The 20,462-nt window shown below is 39.6% G+C and overlaps 1 protein-coding gene across 7 annotated transcripts in view, besides 2 other annotated features; it reads right to left on the bottom strand.

The window, feature by feature from the left end:
* Window positions 1-20,462, bottom strand: part of UBE2E2 (ubiquitin conjugating enzyme E2 E2) — a 388,828-nt gene that overhangs the window by 314,502 nt on the left and 53,864 nt on the right. The gene's annotated exons all lie outside the window — the stretch shown is intronic.
* Window positions 6,689-6,888: an enhancer, noted in NCBI's record as "active region_19593". NCBI's record gives its function as "activates an Ori minimal core promoter by ATAC-STARR-seq in GM12878 lymphoblastoid cells {active_cell/tissue: GM12878}" and the evidence as "EXISTENCE:reporter gene assay evidence [ECO:0000049][PMID:35858748]".
* Window positions 20,179-20,379: a silencer, noted in NCBI's record as "peak4575 fragment used in MPRA reporter construct". NCBI's record gives its function as "represses an SCP1 promoter by STARR-seq MPRAs in K562 erythroleukemia cells {active_cell/tissue: K562}" and the evidence as "EXISTENCE:reporter gene assay evidence [ECO:0000049][PMID:32103011]".

The following is a 20,462-nucleotide window of genomic DNA, read 5'->3' as shown; positions in this document are numbered from 1 at the left end:
TGACCCTTGAAGCCTGCAGGAAATCATAACTGCCTGAAACCTACACCATCAAATTATCAAATGAAAATCTTATTATCAGCATGTCTAGCATCTGGCAGTAGCCGATCTTTGAAAATATAAGTCAGCATGGATTTAAGAAAGCCACTGTGTGAACACAATAGCTTTATATGTCACTGTGAGATAATGAACACTTTTAATTTTTTTTAGTTTTGTATTTAATGCAGCTTCTTAAAAAACTGATTTTATTCTCCCACTATATTACTATTCTTCTAGTGTACAGCTGCCAACCATAGTTAAATCTGATTAGGTTCTATGCTGAGTTAATCAATCTGATAATGTCAGACATTATTAAGAACGCATACATGATATGGTCACACCGTCTACTATCAGAAGCATGTACACGAAAGCCTTTGTTTTCCTAGAAAACTGAAACTGCTTACATTAGCTCACATTTTTTTGTTTTTGTTTTTAAAGAATGAGAGAAAAATAAAAAAAGTTTTTCCTCTTCCTTAAGCAAGTACAAAAATTATTCTGCTAAAATATTAATACTATGAAAAATTGCAACTTTGTCTTTGTCAATCTTTGTTTATATAATAGTCTCAAATCACAATCAACATTAGAAAAATAAAATTTCACAAAAAGTACAAATGCTCACAATATAAAATAGTATCCTGAAATATCTTGAATAACTTTCTATTTTATTTTTTATAAAATAGAAAATAATTATTAAAGACTTCAAAACACAACCCACACTCTACTTGTGATTTTATACATTTGCTGCACTCAAGCTTAATTCTAAGTACAAAGGAAAAAATAGCATGATCCTTTGAACACACAAGTCTGCATCAGGATCTCACTCTAAGATTCATACATTTTAGCAGGTAGAAAGCATTATAAAGCATATTAATATTTTACAAACTTTCTAGCTTTTTTCCCTTCTGAAGACATGGAAGGATTCAAAGAAGGTAAATGAAAGGGAGTTCTATGCTAACGTAAATTAACCCCTCCTTAGTTTATATATTAGAATTTTTCAGTCAAAAATGTTTAACTTAAGAGCAGCACAATTTTAGTTTTCTAGTATTCAACTTTAAAAGGTTTGTTTCTTAAAACTAAAATTTAAAATCAAAAATTAGAATAAATGAAGTGTATTTTTTCCATAAAACTATAATTCTAATCAGTTTACTGATTGTGTCTTGGTGGGGGAAGGTAGGATGTACCTAAGTTACTAAAGGAGCTGTCTGAAGGAAATGAATAATGGAAAATCATGAAGGCTCTCCAACAACCAATCTGTGTACATGCCAGATAGCCACCTTACTTTCACTGGCATCACAAGCCAGATAAAAAGACATAGAAATTTTTTTTAAATAGGCTTGTCTCTACTTTTCTTCCCCACACCATGCCTTATCAATCTGCAAAGCCCCTGGTATCATTCAGTTAAAGCCCTTAAGTGACATCCTCTCAGATACGTAGTCTCTGGAAATCAGATGACATGGAGGCAAGCATTATCATGATAGAGAGAAGCTCAAATTCAAATTTTTAATGAATCGGGATCTGCTGGGCAACATATATTCTATTTCAAATACAAACTTAAGTTTTCCAAACACTGTGACAAAAAAAAAAGTTGGGTGTTCTCTGACTTCTAAGTTTCTAATCATTCTTTCCTTCTCCTCCCAAGCCACCTCTTTCAACTCTCCCTCCCAGCCTATGATCATGGATTTCTTTTTAAGTTTTGTTTCTTTTTAATTAAAAATTTTAAGCACCTCTACCTATAAAACTGAGAATAAGACTGCTGAAACTATAGAGCAATAGAAAATTTCATACTTTACAAACCCACTGTCCACAAAGCAGGTAAGTCATTCTTTTTAAAATATAAATCATCTTACGGGTCCTCCCTAAAAACACTTCAAAGGCTTCCCATTGCTCTTAGGAAGGACTAAATCCTTCAGGTGGCCAGAAACACAATGCAGGATTTGATCTAGGCCCAGCCTTATCTTGAGTCAATCTACTGTAACACCTCAGTATTCCAGGCACAATTGGTCTATTTCAGCTTCCGGGACATGTCCACCGTTTAGCACCTCAGTGCCTTCACACATGCTGCCGCCTCTGCCTAAAACACGTCCTTTTACCTTGGCTACTCCACCTAGGCTACCGAGATGTTTATACAAAGATAATTTCTCTCTTAGCACCGCTTCTCTCACCCTGTGTGATATACTTTCAAAGCAGCCCAAATTTCTCTTTCACAGCCTTTCCCACAACGCAATTAAATTAACTGACAGTAATTGTTAAGCACATCCTCTAGAATGTGGGCATCAACAATGGTTGGTTGCTCATTACTGCAGTCCCCCTGCCTAACACAACGCTTTACACACAGTAGGCACTCAGATATTTCCTGATAAGGACATTGATAACAACTTCCTCAAAAAGTTATTTTGAGGATTACATTGAACAGTCCACATACAGCTCAGGTCCTGACCAGCACTCTAAACAAGTTAGCTGTAATTATTATTGATTTTATATGAGTGAATAAATAAGGGCAATTAGGCAATATTTATCAAAACTCTTCAAAAAAAAGGGATACTATTTGACATCACTCCATTTATTACCTACACAGCATTTGCTGTAAAGAAATAATAAGAGCTACTCAGAATATTTACAAATAATATCCAGTGTATCATTATTTTAAAAACCAAAGAATTCTAGGATTAAATTGTGGAACACACATATGAAGGAATACAGTCACTGAAAATCAGTTTCTTAGGCTGGGCGCGATGGCTCATACCTGTAATCCCAGCACTTTGGGAGGTGCCTCTGAGGCAGGAAGATCACTTTAGCCCAGGAGTTCAAGACCAGCCTGGGCAACATGGAGAAACTCCATCTCTATAAAAAATACAAAAAAAAAAATTAGCCAGGCATGGTGGTGCGCGCCTACAGTCCCAGGTACTTGGGAGACGGAGATAGGAGGATCTGCTGAGCTAGGATGCAGTGAACCGTGACCTTGCCACTGCACTGCAGCCTGCCGCAACACAGTGGGCAACAGAGAGGGACTCGTCACTCTGTTCATATAACAGAAAGACCTTCCAGGAAAGGAAGGGGGTCGGGAAAGGAAGAGAGAAGAAGAAGAGGGGAAAGAAAGAGGGAAAAAAATCATTTTCTTAATGAATCCAGGTATTTCTTCAACAATATGAGTTTCATAACTTAAAAGGGTATCAAAAGATAATAATTGTTGGTATTTACAGACTGCCACTGGTTTTAAACATGATCCAAGATCAGAAATCAGCAACACATATAGAGACAAATACAACAGCACAGTAATTCATAGCTACTGTGCTTTAAAAATAATTTTTTAATCAACAGTCCAGTCCTGTAATATTTGACTCCCTTCTTATATCAACAGCATTTTTTTTCCCATTGTATCAAAGGGTTTCTGAACAATAATGATTCAGTCAGTAAGAAGAATCAAGTTTGTTAACATCTGGATCACACTTTATTACATATATACATACACGCATACATATATGGCTAGTCAAGTGAAGCAGTGGGAGTAGAAAAGGAACAAAGAAATCTGTAACTGGCTGTGATCAGTTGGTTGTAAACACCACACTGCACTTGAACCAGCCTGGGTCATATTTTAACCAGCATGTACCATGTCAACTTCTAATAAAAATAATACTGGAAACCAGGAGAATGATTCATAATTCAGCAATTTACAAGTTCTTATTCAGTTATTTCATGATGCTTTAAAAGTATACAATAATGTCACTGATAGGTTCCTGGAAACTATGACTTTAAGCAAAACCATATATAATGAAACCAATTTTTTTTTCTCATCAGTGTTATAACAATGTCATTCAAGGACCTGCTGTACATCATTTCTCTCTCTTTTTTTTTTTTTTGAGACGGAGTCTCGCTCTGTCGCCCAGGCTGGAGTGCAGTGGCGCAATCTCGGCTCACTGCAAGCTCCACCTCCTGGGTTCACACCATTCTCCTGCCTCAGCCTCCCAAGTAGCTGGGACTACAGGCGTCCGCCATCACGCCCGGCTAATTTTTTTTTTGTATTTTTAGTAGAGACGGGGTTTCACCATGGTCTCGATCTCCTGACCTCGTGATCCGCCCACCTCGGCCTCCCAAAGTGCTGGGATTACAGGCGTGAGCCACTGCGCCCGGCCCCATCATTTCTCTTAAAGTTGCAGTTTCAAAGAAACTATCAACAACTTTTGTGAGAATTTACTATATTGCTTCTTACTATATAAAATTGTTTTAGAAGTGTAAACCATCTGTGATGATTAATTTTATGTGTCAACTTGACTGGGGCACAAAGTGTCCAGACATTTGGTCAAACATTATTCCAAGTGTGTCTGTGAGGGTGTTTTTTGATGAGATAAACAGCTGAATTGGAAGCAAATTGCCCTCCCTAATGTGAGTCGCCCTTATCCAATCAGTTGATGGCCTGAAGAGAACTAAAAGGCTGACCCTGCCATAAGACTTGTCTGACTGCTTGAAATGGAATATCAGTCTTTTCCTGCTTCGGGACTCAAACTGAAACTTGGGCTCTTCTTGGTCTTGGGCCTGCCAGCTTTCAGACTAGAACTTATACTACTGGCTCTCCTGGTTCTCAGGCCTCTGGACTTGGACAGAAACTACTACGCCACAGCTCTCCTGAGTCTCCAGCTTGCCGTCTCCATATCTTGGCACTTGGTCTCCATAATTGCATGAGCCAATTCCTTACACTCAATCTCTCTCTCTCTCTCTCTCTGAGATATAGATAGATAGATAGTCTATTTCTCTGTAGAACTATGACTAACACATCATCCCATACTCCCATTGCAAAACTCCCTTTCACACATACACTACAACACACTCATACTGAGAGGTGACAACGTGCTGGCGGCCCTCGCTCGCTCTCAGCGCCTCCTCGGCCTTGGCGTCTGCTCTGGCCACCCTTGAGGAGCCCATCAGTCCGCTGCTGCACTGTGGGAGCCCCTCTCTGGGCTGGCCAAGTATGGAGCCAGCCCCCTCTGCTTGCGGGGAGGTGTGGAAGGAGAGGCACGGGTGGGAACCCGGGCTGCGTGCGTTGCTCTTGGGCCAGTGAAAGTTCTGGGTGGGCGTGGGCTTGGCAGGCCCCACACTCAGAGAAGCCGGCCGGCCCCGGGCAGTGAGGGACTTAGCACCCAGGCCAGGGAGCGCCGGATCCCCCAGCAGTGCCAGACTGCCCGTGCCACACTCGAACTCTCGCCAGGCCTCAGCCACCTCCCCGCGGGGCAGGGCTCGGGACCTGCAGCCCGCCATGGCCGAGCCCCCTGGCGGTGGGCTCCAGCATGGACCGAGCCTCCCCAACAGGCATCACCCCCTGCTCCACGGCACCCAGTCCCATTGACTGCCCAAGGGCTGAGAAGTGCAGGCGCCGTGCGGGACTGGTGGGCAGCTCCACCCACGGCCCTGGCGCGGGATCCACTAGGCGAAGCCAGCTGGGCTCCTGAGTCAGGTGACGACTTGGAGAACTTTTATGTCTAGCTGGAGGACTGTATATGCACCAATCAGCACTCTGTGTCTAGCTCAGGGTTCGTGGATGCACCAATGAGCACTCTGTATCTAGCTAATCTGGTGGGGGCTTGGAGAACCTTTATGTCTAGCTAAAGGATTGTAAATACACCAATTAGCACCCTGTGTCTATCTCAAGGTTTGTAAACACACCAATCAGTGCTCTGTGTCTAGTTAATCTAGTGAGGACTTGGAGAACTTTTACATCTAGCTAGAGGATTGTAAATACACCAATCAGCACTCTGTGTCTAGCTCAGGGATTGTAAACGCACCAATCAACACCCTGTCAAAATGGACCAATCAGCTCTCTGTAAAATGGACCAATCAGCTCTCCATAAAATGGGCCAATCAGTAGGCTGTGGGTGGGGTCAGATAAGGGAATAAAAGCAGGCTGCCCGAGCCAGCGGCAGCAACCCACTCGGGTCCCCTTACCACGCTGTGGAAGCTTTGTTCTTTGGCTCTTTGCAATAAATCTTGCTGCTGCTCATTCTTTGGGTCCGCGCCACCTTTATGAGCTGCAACACTCACCGTGAAGGTCTGTAGCTTCACTCCTGAAGCCAGCAAGACCACAAACCCACCAGAAGGAAGAAACTCCAGAAACATCTGAACATCTGAAGGAACAAACTCTAGACACACCATCTTTAAGAACTGTAACACTCACCGCGAGGGTCCGTGGCTTCATTCTTGAAGTCAGCGAGACCAAGAACCCACCAATTCCAGACACAATACTTGCCATCTTTTGAAGGTCCATTAGAATACAAGTTTCTGAAACTCAAGGTCCATTTCTCTTCATTACTGCTATCATCTTAACTTTTTGGGTGCCTAGTGTATGTTAGTCATAGTTAATTGAGAAATGAATAGAAGTAAGATGAAGTCTGCTCCTTCCAAGTCACTCACAAGTTAGAAGAGATGCAAGCAGATCGAATCAGGAACAGCCTGTTAACAAATGGAGTATAAACTTAGTTGTCAGCAGGATTTCATAAATGTTAGACAATTATCGTTCTTAATCTGAGACTTGTAATTAAACACTAGATTTCCCTGAGAAAAACAATTGCACACCTAAGAGAGTGTGTTAAATGAATTCCTGAAACTGTTAAACATTGTAACTAGTAACAAAAATCCACACAAATCAGACCTGACAGAGCACTTTCTCACACAGGAAGCTAGAAATATCAGATGCCAGTAATAACCCATTCAGTCAAACCATTTCCTTCTTTTTTGGCAAGTTAAAAGACTGAAAGCTTCAGAGACCGAAACACTCAGTTGGTACCTGTATCAGAACCTACCCTGTCTGCTTCTCTGTATGTACTCTATACTTCCTCAGGGCCAGAATACCAGAACCACTTGGGGAGAAGGAGAACAGAACGAGCCCTGCAGGGCCCCAGGGTTTATCTGTGAGCCAGAACGAGTGTTTCCCCTAACTCCAAGCCTTGGTTCCAGGTTCCTACCTGAGGTACAGAATAACCCAGGCCCGTGGGGCTCTCATACAAAAGAGTGCAGGAACGGCAAAAGACAAGATCAGCCAAGCCCTTTGTGCACAAAATACACCATCGCAGCACATGCATGGCACCCAAAGGCAATTCTACCACAGAACAGTAGACTAGGAGTAGCATCAGGAAATAAGGATTCCTGACCCTCACCTTAGATGAGGGACATCTTGTGACAGGGAGAGCCCACTACACAAAAGGAGCAAATTCATCCACTGGAGAGGCAAAAAAAAAAAAAAAAAAAAAGGAGGAGGGGGGTGGAAAGAGTCTTGACCACAGTCAAGGACCCAGAGGCAGGGACCTGCCTAGCTCATTGCTGCTGGGGTGGTAGCCAGACAGGAAATGGATGAGCTACTCGGGGCCTGCACCAGGACAAGGCATTTCTGGGGTCAGCACAGTTATACAGAAGGGACTCTAAACCAAGATTTTCAAGGAATTTCAAATTCCTGGTATTGTTTTGATCCCTATTTCTTGATTCTTAGCCCCTGGGGCTGCTACGGCTGAGAAACATGTTATTCCCTTATAAACAGAATAAACATTTTTCCCCTTTTTCTACTGGGCATCTCACCATATTAAGCTGCACATCATTTTCCTCCCTGTATGATTTCTATTACTGCTTCCATTGTCATGGCCTTCCTGCACTCTACCCATGAAGAGCTCTAATGTCCTGCACAAGCTATTTCAGCTGTTGCTGTTGTTGATGCTGCTGCTCCCGGCTCCAACTCAACTATCTACTAAAAGCTGCTCTTTGGTGCCCAGAGTAGTTGAGATTCTCTTAACTGGCCTTTTGCATGACAGTTACAAATTTTTCCTCTCTGCTCCCTTTCTCCTACCCCAACTCCCACCCTCAAATCCTGTCCCATTGGAAGGTGAGAACTGATTTCCTGGCAGACTGTGATCCTTCCCAGCTAACACAGTCCAGTCTCTGAGTGCCCTCTACATTTCTTTATTTCAATGTGTCCCCAAGAGCAATAGAGCCCCAAAAGCCTTTGGAGTTTAGCTTTTAACGCTACACGCCAACTCCAAGCGGGTTTGTTTTTTCTCTTGTAAATTTTTTGAGTTCATTGTAGATTCTGGATATTAGCCCTTTGTCAGATGAGTAGGTTGTGAAAATTTTCTCCCATTTTGTAGGTTGCCTGTTCACTCTGATGGTAGTTTCTTTTGCTGTGCAGAAGTTCTTTAGTTTAATTAGATCCCATTTTTCAGTTTTGGCTTTTGTTGCCATGCTTTTGGTGTTTTAGACATGAAGTCCTTGCCCATGCCTATGTCCTGAACAGTAATGCCTAGGTTTTCTTCTAGGGTTTTTATGGTTTTAGGTCTAACGTTTAAGTCTCTAATCCATCTTGAATTAATTTTTGTATAAGGTGTAAGGAAGGGATCCAGTTTCAGCTTTCTACATATGGCTAGCCAGTTTTCCCAGCACCATTTATTAAATAGGGAATCCTTTCCCCATTGCTTGTTTTTGTCAGGTTTGTCAAAGATCAGATGGTTGTAGATATGTGGCGTTATTTCTCAGGGCTCTGTTCTGTTCCATTGATCTATATCTCTGTTTCGGTACCAGTACCATGCTGTTTTGGTTACTGTAGCCTTGTAGTATAGTTTGAAGTCAGGTAGCGTGATGCCTCCAGCTTCGTTCTTTTGGCTTAGGATTGACTTGGCAATGCGGGCTCTTTTTTGGTTCCATATGAACTTTAAAGTAGTTTTTTCCAATTCTGTGAAGAAACTCATTGGTAGCTTGATGGGGATGGCATTGAATCTATAAATTACCTTGGGCAGTATGGCCATTTTCACGATATTGATTCTTCCTACCCATGAGCATGGAATGTTCTTCCATTTCTTTGTATCCTCTTTTATTTCATTGAGCAGTGGTTTGTGGTTCTCCTTGAAGAGGTCCTTCACATCCCTTGTAAGTTGGATTCCTAGGTATTTTTTTCTCTTTGAAGCAATTGTGAATGGGAGTTCACTCATGATTTGGCTGTTTGTCTGTTACTGGTGTATAAGAATGCTTGTGATTTTTGTACATTGATTTTGTATCCTGAGACTTTGTTGAAGCTGCTTATCAGCTTAAGGAGATTTTGGGCTGAGACAATGGGGTTTTCTAGATATACAATCATGTCATCTGCAAACAGGGACAATTTGACTTCCTCTTTTCCTAATTGAATACCCTTTATTTCCTTCTCCTGCCTAATTGCCCTGGCCAGAACTTCCAACACTATGTTGAATAGGAGTGGTGAGAGAGGGAAAACCTGTCTTGTGCCAGTTCTCAAAGGGAATGCTTCCAGTTTTTGCCCATTCAGTATGATATTGCCTGTGGGTTTGTCATAGATAGCTCTTATTATTTTGAGATACGTCCCATCAATACCTAATTTATTGAGAGTTTTTAGCATGAAGAGTTGTTGAATTTTGTCAAAGGCCTTTTCTGCATCTGTTGAGATAATCATGTGGTTTTTGTCTTTGGTTCTGTTTATATGCTGGATTACGTTTATTGATTTGCATATATTGAACCAGCCTTGCATCCCAGGGATGAAGCCCACTTGATCATGGTGGATAAGCTTTTTGATGTGCTGCTGGATTCGGTTTGCCAGTATTTTATTGAGGATTTTTGCATCAATGTTCATCAAGGATATTGGTCTAAAATTCTCTTTTTTGGTTGTGTCTCTGCCAGGCTTTGGTATCAGGATGATGCTGGCCTTATAAAATGAGTTAGGGAGGATTCCCTCTTTTTCTATTGATTGGAATAGTTTCAGAAGGAATGGTACCAGTTCCTCCTTGTACCTCTGGTAGAATTCGGCTGTGAATCCATCTGGTCCTGGACTCTTTTTGGTTGGTAAGCTATTGATTATTGCCACAATTTCAGAGTCTGTTATTGGTCTATTCAGAGATTCAACTTCTTCCTGGTTTAGTCTTGGGATGGTGTATGTGTCGAGGAATTTATCCATTTCTTCTAGATTTTTTAGTTTATTTCTGTAGAGGTGCTTGTAGTATTCTCTGATGGTAGTCTGTATTTCTGTGGGATCAGTGGTGACATCCCCTTTATCATTTTTTATTGCGTCTACTTGATTCTTCTCTCTTTTCTTCTTTATTAGTCTTGCTAGCGGTCTATCAATTTTGTTGATCCTTTCAAAAAACCAGCTCCTGGATTCATTTATTTTTTGAAGGGTTTTTTGTGTCTCTATTTCCTTCAGTTCTGCTCTGATTTTAGTTATTTCTTGCCTTCTGCTAGCTTTTGAATGTGTTTGCTCTTGCTTTTCTAGTTCTTTTAATTGTGACGTTAGGGTGTCAATTTTGGATCTTTCCTGCTTTCTCTTGTGGGCATTTAGTGCTATAAATTTCCCTCTACACACTGCTTTGAATGTGTCCCAGAGATTCTGGTATGTTGTGTCTTTGTTCTCAGTGGTTTCAAAGAACATCTTTATTTCTGCCTTCATTTCGTTATGTACCCAGTAGTCATTCAGGAGCAGGTTGTTCAGTTTCCATGTAGTTGCATGGTTTTGAGTGAGTTTCTTAATCCTGAGTTCTAGTTTGATTGCACTGTGGTCTGAGAGACAGTTTGTTATAATTTCTGTTCTTTTACATTTGCTGAGGAGAACTTTACTTCCACCTATGTGGTCAGTTTTGGAGTAGGTGTGGTGTGCTGCTGAAAAGAATGTATATTCTGTTGATTTGGGGTGGAGAGTTCTGTAGATGTCTATTACGTCTGCTTGGTGTGGAGCTGAGTTCAATTCCTGGGTATCCTTCTTAACTTTCTGAAAGATACTCCTCGAGAAGAGCAACTCCAAGACACATAATTGTCAGATTCAGCAAAGTTGAAATGAAGGAAAAAATGTTAAGGGCAGCCAGAGAGAAAGGTCAGGTTACCCACAAAGGGAAGCCCATCAGACTAACAGCTGATCTCTCGGCAGAAACTCTACAAGCCAGAAGAGAGGGGGGGCCAATATTCAACATTCTTAAAGAATTTTCAACCTAGAATTTCATATCCAGCCAAACTAAGCTTCATAAGTGAAGGAGAAATAAAATCCTTTACAGACAAGCAAATGCTGAGAGATTTTGTCACCACCAGGCCTGCCCTAAAAGAGCTCCTGAAGGAAGCGCTAAACATGGAAAGGAACAACTGGCACCAGCCACTGCAAAATCATGCCAAATTGTAAAGACCATCGAGGCTAGGAAGAAACTGCATCAACTAATGAGCAAAATAACCAACTAACATCATAATGACAGGATCAAATTCACACATAACAATATTAACTTTAAAGGTAAATGGACTAAATGCTCAAATTAAAAGACACAGACTGGCAAATTGGATACAGAGTCAAGACCCATCAGTGTGCTGTATTCAGGGAACCCATCTCACGTGCAGACACACACATAGGCTCAAAATAAAAGGATGGAGGAAGATCTACCAAGCAAATGGAAAACAAAAAAACGCAGGGGTTGCAATCCTAGTCTCTGATAAAACAGACTTTAAACCAACAAAGATCAAAAGAGACAAAGAAGGCCATTACATAATGGTAAAGGGATCAATTCAACAAGAAGAGCTAACTATCCTACATATATATGCACCCAACACAGGAGCACCCAGATTCATAAAGCAAGTCCTTAGAGACCTACAAAGAGACTTAGACTCCCACACAATAACAATGGGAGACTTTAACACCCCACTGTCAACATTAGACAGACCTCCAAGTGGGTTTCAAATGTACTGCCCACCTAAAACAAGCTTCCTATGTGAGAGAGAAATCCTTACCAATGGTTCCCTGTGGCCTCAACCACATGCATTCTTGGATAAGGAACCTCTGAGGCAGTGAGCCTATGCACTGGAGGAGATATGGCAAAAGGGGATTCATTTTATTTTCACTAAAATTCATGGTTTCTCTGTTGTTCTTTAGCTTATTCCATGTTTTACCCCTAGTCCCCCTTCAGCAGGCCTTATTTAGAGTTCAGGATAGAACAGCTGCTTGCTGGTCCCAGTCACCTCTCCAGTCTGGTTATGCATGCTTCATTCACATCCTAACTTCAGTCACTTTTTCTAAGCTAAACCACACTACCATGTGGGGAGGGTGAGGGAACTGAAGTGAGAAAGACACCCTAACTTCTCAGTAGAGATGATCCACTTGCCACCCTCAATGATCTGAATTCCATCCCCTTCAAGTTCAACCATACTCACCTTGCAGCATCAATCATTACTGCTTTTCTAATCTTCAATTCTTCCTTCTCCATTCGTTCCTTCTTCATAGCATATAATCAGTCTGAAGCCTCTTCAATTCCTTAAACAAAAATCCTCCTCCCACATCTGGTCCTTTCCTTCTTCCCTTTGCAATTTGCTTCTACAAAGACATTTCTACACAGAGAGGTTTGCCGCTTTCTCACCTTGCACTCACAACTCTGCAATACTCTACTGACGCTATTACTACTAAAATACACAAGACTTGTCTGGAAATGTAGTGAACACTTTTCAGTCTATATCTAACTTGGCATCTCTATGCTGCATTTCACAGGACTGAAAAATTGACTCTCTTCACTTGTAAGACAATCACTTAACCTGGAAATAATTACCCATTCACTTGCAAGCTTAATAATATGAATACAATTACTACAATGTTTCTTGTTTTCAATTTCAAAGCAAAGATCTTAAATATATTATCTGCTCATTTGATTTCTGAAGTATATACAAAACCAAGGATTGACTGGCAAATGTACAGGCCATCCATTTCATTCTCCTAAGTTATCTGGATTTTATGTATGAATCATACCAAACCATGCATACTTGGGCCACATCATCATGATCTCTCACAGAATTCTTACCAAATGATGCTTTGGCATTATATTCTAAAATTTCTTTGTGGGATCAAAAGAGGCAGTCCCATTAAAAACTCAAAGTCACATGATATAGGAATGATGTTGAAGAAATCATCCCAAATCTCCCAGAGACTCCTTTTGTGGCTCGCACAGGGATTTTGAGAATTCCTAAGAAATAGGTTTTATGTGTGCTATTCTAACTCTTTTGTCCTCCCCACCTTTTTTTTTTTTCCTTTTCCTTTTTTTGTTTTTTATTTTTTATTTTTTTGCTATAGAAAATTCAGAGTCAAACTCACGGTCCAGCTATAATAGCTGTGTAACCTAAAGATACGAACAGTAAAATGTTCTTTCTCTTCCACTTGGGACACTTATTCTAATTTGCATTTCCCTCTGTAGAGATTAGGGAGCAAAGGTAAGACTTCCTAGGGTTTGCAGTCTACCTCTGTCTCCCAGAATGTTAAATTTTGGTAAGATACTTAACTCTTCCAACATTTTCTCGACAGCAAAACATAGGTAATGGTAGTACCTACATCATACGATTAATGTAAGAATTATGTAAGATCATGTACCCGACTCATAGTAAGCACTCAGTAATGTTAACTGTTATTATTATTAGTCACCACGGATACCCTGTAGAATGAAACGAAGTACAAAAAAACTTAGTCTGAGTTGTCTAATCTAGAACTTGTTAAGAAAAATAGGGAGGCTTTTATCTATTCTAAGATACAACTGACCTATGCAGTTTCGCCAAAATTTTAAAATAATAAACATGCTAAGAATTCTAAGATTTTTTAAGATATACACCATCTATGAACCAAGCTCTATAAAAATAGTATGAAGTCAGGACTTTCAATGATCCTTTTAAGCCTTTGCCAAAATACTATAAAAATCAAAATGACTGAAATGATCTTTTGATAAGCAAATGCACTCCTTAAAATTAAGCAGGGCTATGTTCAAACCACCCTCTTTTTTAAACATCAAATCATTGTAGCTCTTAAACGAAAGGCCCTCATCCACTATAGAAAAATAAATAAATAAAAGATGAGCATCTTCCACTAAGGTGACATGATGCTATTATCATGTTCCAAAAAGTGACTCAAGCAATAAGGGACTGAATCTGTTAGCCTATCACTGTCAGAATAGGTAAGTATCAATTATGTCAAAGCCAAAATCAATATTATAGGCAGAAGCTCTTCAGAAATTCTATTCAAGTTAACTCATTTAATTACTTTTAAAGTTCAACTCAAAAACACAAAAGATCTTTGTGTAAATAGTTAAATACAGTATCTTCACAAATGGCTCTCACATATAAACATCAGATTTTACAAATATCTGTATAAAAGATTTAAATAAATAAAAGAAACCTATGGTTCTTTGCTTACCTAACTCAAGTATGTGTCAAAATTCCGTTGAGCAGTCAGAATGGCTCAAGTAGTCAGTGTGTTAAGTACAGAGTTAATATGTATTGCTGTATCACCTCATGCTCTCCATCTCAGCTAAGAACACACCTTTTCCACCTCTCACCTAAAAGTTCCTTCTCTCCATCTCTTGTTCTGTAACAGCAACTTCTGCCTGCTTTTCCTCATCAGTAGGAAGTAATTTCCCTCTGTACACTCAGAAAAACAAGCTGGCAAAATTCCAGAAGAGCTTTTTGCCTTCTGAAGCTAAAGACAAAAATTCAAGACCACAGTAAGGCTTAAACATTGTACCCTGAAACCATAAAACTCCTAGAAGAAAACATATGGAAAAATCTCCTTGACATTTTTCTCGGCAAGGATTTTTTGGATGTGACACCAAAAGCATGTGCAACAAAAGCAAAAATAAACAAATAAAACTACATAAAACTAAAAACCTGCATAACAAAGGAACCAATCAACAAAATGAAAAGACAATCTATGGAATGGAAGAAAACATTTACAAACCATACATCTAATAAGGGCTTAATACCCAAAATATATAAGCAGCTTATATAACTCAATAGCAAAAAAAAAAACCCCACATAATTTGATTTTAAAATGGCCTACACTGAACATGGTGGCTCATGCCTGCAATCCCAGTGCTCTAGGACACCAAGGCGGAGGACTGCATGAAGCCAGAAGTTTGAGACCAGCCTAGGCAACATAATGAGACCGCATCTCCACAAAAAAACATTTTTTAATTAGCTGGGTGTGGTGGCATGCACCTGTAGTCCTAACTACTTGGGAGGCTGAGGCAAGATGATTCCTTAAGCCCAGGAGTTGGCTGCAATGGGCTATGATCGCGCCACTTCAGTCCAGCCTGAAAAAAAGACCACGACTCTGTTTCTAAAATTTAAAAAATTGGTAAGAGCCCTGAATACACATTTTTCCAAAAAAGAAATACAAATGGCCAACACGTACATGAAAAAAATGTTCAACATTACTATCATCAGGGAACTGCAAATCCAAACCATAAAGAGATACTGGATGGCCATTATGAAAAGGACAAGAGAAAAGTATTGGTGAGGATGTGGAGAAAAGGGTGCCCTGTGCAATTCTTGTGGGGAATGTAAACTGGTAGAGCCACTAAGGAAACCAATATGGAGGCTCCTCAAAAAATTAAAACTAGAACATTGTTTTAGCAATGCTACTTCTGGGTCTATATCCAAAGGAATGGAAATCAGAATATCAAAGAGATAACTGCACTCCATGTTAACTGCAGCATTATTCACAACAGCCAAGATATAGAAATGACCTAAGTGCCCATACACCTATAAATGAATAAAGAAAATTCAGTGTGTGTATATATCAATAAAATGGAATATTATTCACCCATTTAAAAAAGGAAGGAAATCCTGCCATTTGCTACACATTGGATGATTCTGAAGCGCATTATGCTAAGTGAAGTGAGAAAGAGAAAAACAAATGCTGTATGATTTCACTTACGAATGAAATCTAAAACAGTTGAACTCATAAAAGCAGAGAGTAGAATGGTGGTTACCAGAGCTAAAGGTAGGGGGAAATGGGGGGATGTCAGTTAAAGGGTACCAACCTTCAAGTATAAGATGAAAAATTTCTGGAAATCTAATGTACAGCATAATTAACTATAGCTAGTAATACTATACTGTATACCTGCAATTTGCTAAGAGAGTACATCCTAATGTTCTCTCTCACACACACAAACATAAAAAAAATTGGTAACTACGTAAGGTGATACACGTGTTAGCTAACTTGGTTACGGTAAGTTTCACAATATAAACATGTATCAAATCACCATGTCATATACCTTAAATATACACAATTTTATTGTCAATTATACCTCAAAAAAGCTGGAGGGAGAAATGAGAAAAGGAAAACAAAAACTTTTTCTGGTACCAATGCATTCCAAATGACCCTGAATTTCTAAGTAGAATATTATACTTTTTAAAAGACTTTCAGATGTAATTCCTAAGCTTTAAAAAAAAAAAAAAATTCTACCACAGTTACACTGCTTACCAAATACTGAGTTCCATTACTTTTCTTTTTTTCCTTTTTAATTTTTTTGAGACAGGTTCTTGCTCTGTCACCCAGGCTGGAGTGCAGTGGCACAATCTCTACTCATTGCAACCTTGGCCTCCTGGGCTCAAGAGATCCTCCCACATCAGCTTCCCAGGTAGCTGAGACTACAGGCACATGCCACCACGCCCAGGTAATTTTTGTATTTTTTTAGAGACAGCGTTTTGCCACGTTGCCCATGCTGATCTCAAACTCCTTGGCAAGTGATCCGCCCACCTCAGCCTCTCAAATTGCTCAGATTACAGGCATGAGCCACCATCACGCCCAGCCCCATTACTGTCTCCCTCCAACCCCCACCTGAGACAGGGTTTCACTCTGTTGCCCAGGTGGACTGCCAAGGTGCAAACACAGCTTACCACAGCCTCGACCTCCCAGGCTCAGTCTCTGAAGTAGCTGGGACTACAAGCATGCACCACCATGCTCGCTAACTTCCTTCTTTTTGTAGAGATGGGGTTTTACTATGTTGCCCAGGCTGGTCTTGAACTCCTGAACTCAAGCAATCCTCCCACCTCGACCTCCCAAAGTGCTGGGATTACAGGAGTAAACCATGTACAGGCCATAAGTTCCATTAAATTATAGAAATTAGATTATAGGGACAATATCACATGAGATACTGTCTTGCTGTTTCAAAAAAGTGAATTTTTACACATAATTGGTTTAAAGAACTGTATCATTTCCATATCCTACATTTCATATTTTCTGGGTTTTCATATACAGTCTTTTAATTAAAAGTACAGAATGAAACATTCTTGGCAGACTGAAAATAATTCAAGTACAATTTGGCACAGGCTAATAATTTACAAATGTTTTTAAATTAAAAAATATATAGCATTATAAACATATAATAAATGGATTAGACAATACTGTTTTTAAATTGCATAATATATCCATTAGGCTTATTTATAATGTGTCATCAAACAAAAAAGAACTATTAGAAATTTCCTTTTCAGATGCTTTCAAAGACACACAAATCAGTAATTTTTAACCCAACAATGTTGTATACACATCTAGGACACCATTGTGATGAATCAAAAAGATAAACCAGGGATGTCAGATTAAACTCTATTTTAAATCACATAAAAGGGATAACAACATTTCAATTTAAAAAATTTACTTTTGTGAGAAAAGAGAATTCCAGACTAGTACTATATTTAATGAACTTAAGCAGGATTTTGCAGTCTACTGATCTAATTCCATGTGTTTCCATCCACACCTCTTATTGACACTATAAAGCAGAGAAAAGTTAATAGGCAAAGCTGGTGAATTTCACTTTTGTTTCAGAATTGGGAAAACTCTCGAGGGTCCTCTTACCTTAAAATCTTACACTGAAGTTTTTCATGGTTAGGGCCCCATCAACCTCTTCCAATACGCTGAATCATCCAAATAATTTCCACAGGGTATATATGATGTAAGGTAATTTTTCTGTATGTTATATTCACACATGTAATACAGCCTTTGGCCCCTAAATTTTACTCCAAGAAAAATTACAATATTTGAGTCAAGACTTTTTTTTTTTTAAAGTTCCAGGATACATGTGCAGAACATGTAGGTTTGTTACACAGGTATATGTGTGCCATAGTGATCTTCCTGCCTCAATCTCCTAAGTAGCTGGAATTACAGATGCAAGCCATCATGTAAGGTTTTCAAACAATACTTTTTTAAAAATAAGAAAAAAATTCAGTAGCAAACAATGGAGTGCTTTCACTAAATATTTACAGAAAAGGGAAAAAAACCTAACCTCTTGCCAAACCATGCCCAAAAGATAACTTAAATATAAGACTTAGCGAGCACAGCTACACTTGGGATAACTCCTAGTTCATGGCCATGAACACATGTATGCATGCATGTGCACAAACGCACACACACATATACAAGGAAGTAGACAGTGATTTAGGGGGCCTCACTGGATGTGGGAAGACTGCCCGCAGAAGTGCTGGTTGGTAATATTTATGCCCCTGTTCCACACTTTTCCATACCCTAAAGTGACTTGTGACGTCTTTTCCACTACAATGTTCAATTTTAAAAGAATTCACCTGTATAAAATTGGTTATCTTAAAGAAATAAACTGTCAAGGATTTCTGTGTTTCAGAAAAAGTCTTATTTTGTATAAGTCAAAACATTATGACAATTATGACAAATACCTTCTCCTTTCCTGGGGTTAGAATCTTTTTTTTTTTTTTTTTTTTTTTTCTTTTTTTGAGACAGAGTCTCTCTCTGTCACCCAGGCTGGAGTGCAGTGGAACAATCTCAGCTCAATGCAAGCTCCGCCTCCCGGGTTCACGCCATTCTCCTGCCTCAGCCTCCCGAGTAGCTGGGACTACAGGCGCCCGCCACCACGCCCGGCTAATTTTTTGTATTTTTAGTAGAGACAAGGTTTTACCATGTTAGCCAGGATGGTCTCCATCTCCTGAGCTCGTGATCTGCCCGCCTCGGCCTCCCAACGTGGTGGGATTATAGGCGTGAGCCACCACACCCGACCTAGATTCATTTTTATAAGCTCATTACCAAAATAAAGATGTTTGTTATAATCAACATAATAATCTAAATTTTGGGTAGACAGCTCATTTTACTGTCGTTGTTATTAACAAAACTGATATACAAAGGCAAACTACTTAAAATCAATGCATTCAAAAGCAGTAGGTTAGGTGACTTTTTTCAACAGGCCATACTAAAGTCCGTTGATACGAACATGTTTAAATTGTTTTTCTTCTCTTTACTATCACTATTAACATGACTTCCATCAAAACTATTTCCAATACCATGACTCATCCTTTCTCTTTTTCTACTCTCAACTTCTGGTGACATCGCTCTCCCTTTTTGTCCTACCGAAAATATCTGCTAGTCACCATCTTTGCTCCCCTTGTGAGGAATCGACTGTTTTGCCTCTCTAATCCAATGTAAATTCTTGATCTTACCTTCGGTGTGCTCAATAACATGGTCTCATCTTGCATATTTAGTTGCCATTCCATCCTGCTAGCATTCCAATCCCATTCCTATGCTAGGCTTAACCACCATTATTAGTATAATTATTCATACTTTACAGAGCCAATCACATAGTTACATATGTATTGTCATCTCTTCTCATTAACCTTTTTTTAATCCATTTCCAATAATCACCTCTCCTAGGAAGATAATTTTTTAATGATAGTAGAGGAATAGACGAAAGAGATCTAAATGAAAGAAAAGCAAAAATACAGAAAATAAGGAATTACACCAAGTATAGGATATTTCATAAAATTCTAATTTTATAATCCTATAGGATTGTGAGAGTAAAGCAAATGCCAGCCTATATACTATAAATTTTCCCACAAAATACTATTTTCTCCAAATTAAGAGAGAGAGAGATAAAAGTAATTTTAATATGACTAGATATTGGGTATGTTTTGGTTTCAAATGTACCATGAACCAAAAAAAAAGTAAAACCAGCCATGGTGGCCTGTGCCTATAGTCCCAGCTACTACGGAGGCTGAGGTGGGAGGATCACTTGTGCCTAGGAATTAGAGTCCAGTCTGGGCCTCATGAGACTCTAATATCTTAAAAAAAAAAAAAAAAAAAAAAAAGTGGGGGGGGGGGGGGGGCACGGGAAACAGCCAGAAGAAATTCCTATTAAACCCGTCTTAAGCAAGATAAAGCAATGGAGCTTCATCTTGCTTAAGTACATCTATTTTGTTGCAGACCTCCACTTATGAAATTGGCCCTTAGGCAGAAGCAGAAATATAAGAAGGAAAGTTCATTTCCTGGTTTCACAGTCCTGGAGTCAAGGAACCAGTGAAGAGCTAGTCCTGCTCTGATGAAGAGCTGGATAGAGAAAGATTACCAAGAAAGATCTTAGCCTGAGCCATGTGCTCTGGGTGTCATTACATCCATTCCATTTAGATGATAACATGAAACCATTACAGTTCAGGTTTGGAGTCTCCTGAAAGATGAAGACCCACACAGAAGAGCTGTGGTTCAGAAGAACTTATTACAATAGCTTCTCCCACAAGCTACATCCATCCAGAGAAAAGAATACATGGTCCATAAAAGCACACTCTTCTCAAGACCTGAAGTAGCAAAGGGGAGAAATGAATATGTTGGTGCCAGTTCCTTCGTGGTTCACACGACCTAAATAAATAGGCTTCTATTCTTA

The sequence above is a fragment of the Homo sapiens genome, chromosome 3 (genome assembly GCF_000001405.40).
Source record: "Homo sapiens chromosome 3, GRCh38.p14 Primary Assembly".
Classification (NCBI taxonomy): Eukaryota; Metazoa; Chordata; class Mammalia; order Primates; family Hominidae; genus Homo; species Homo sapiens.
This window is presented reverse-complemented; position numbering and strand designations above follow the sequence as displayed.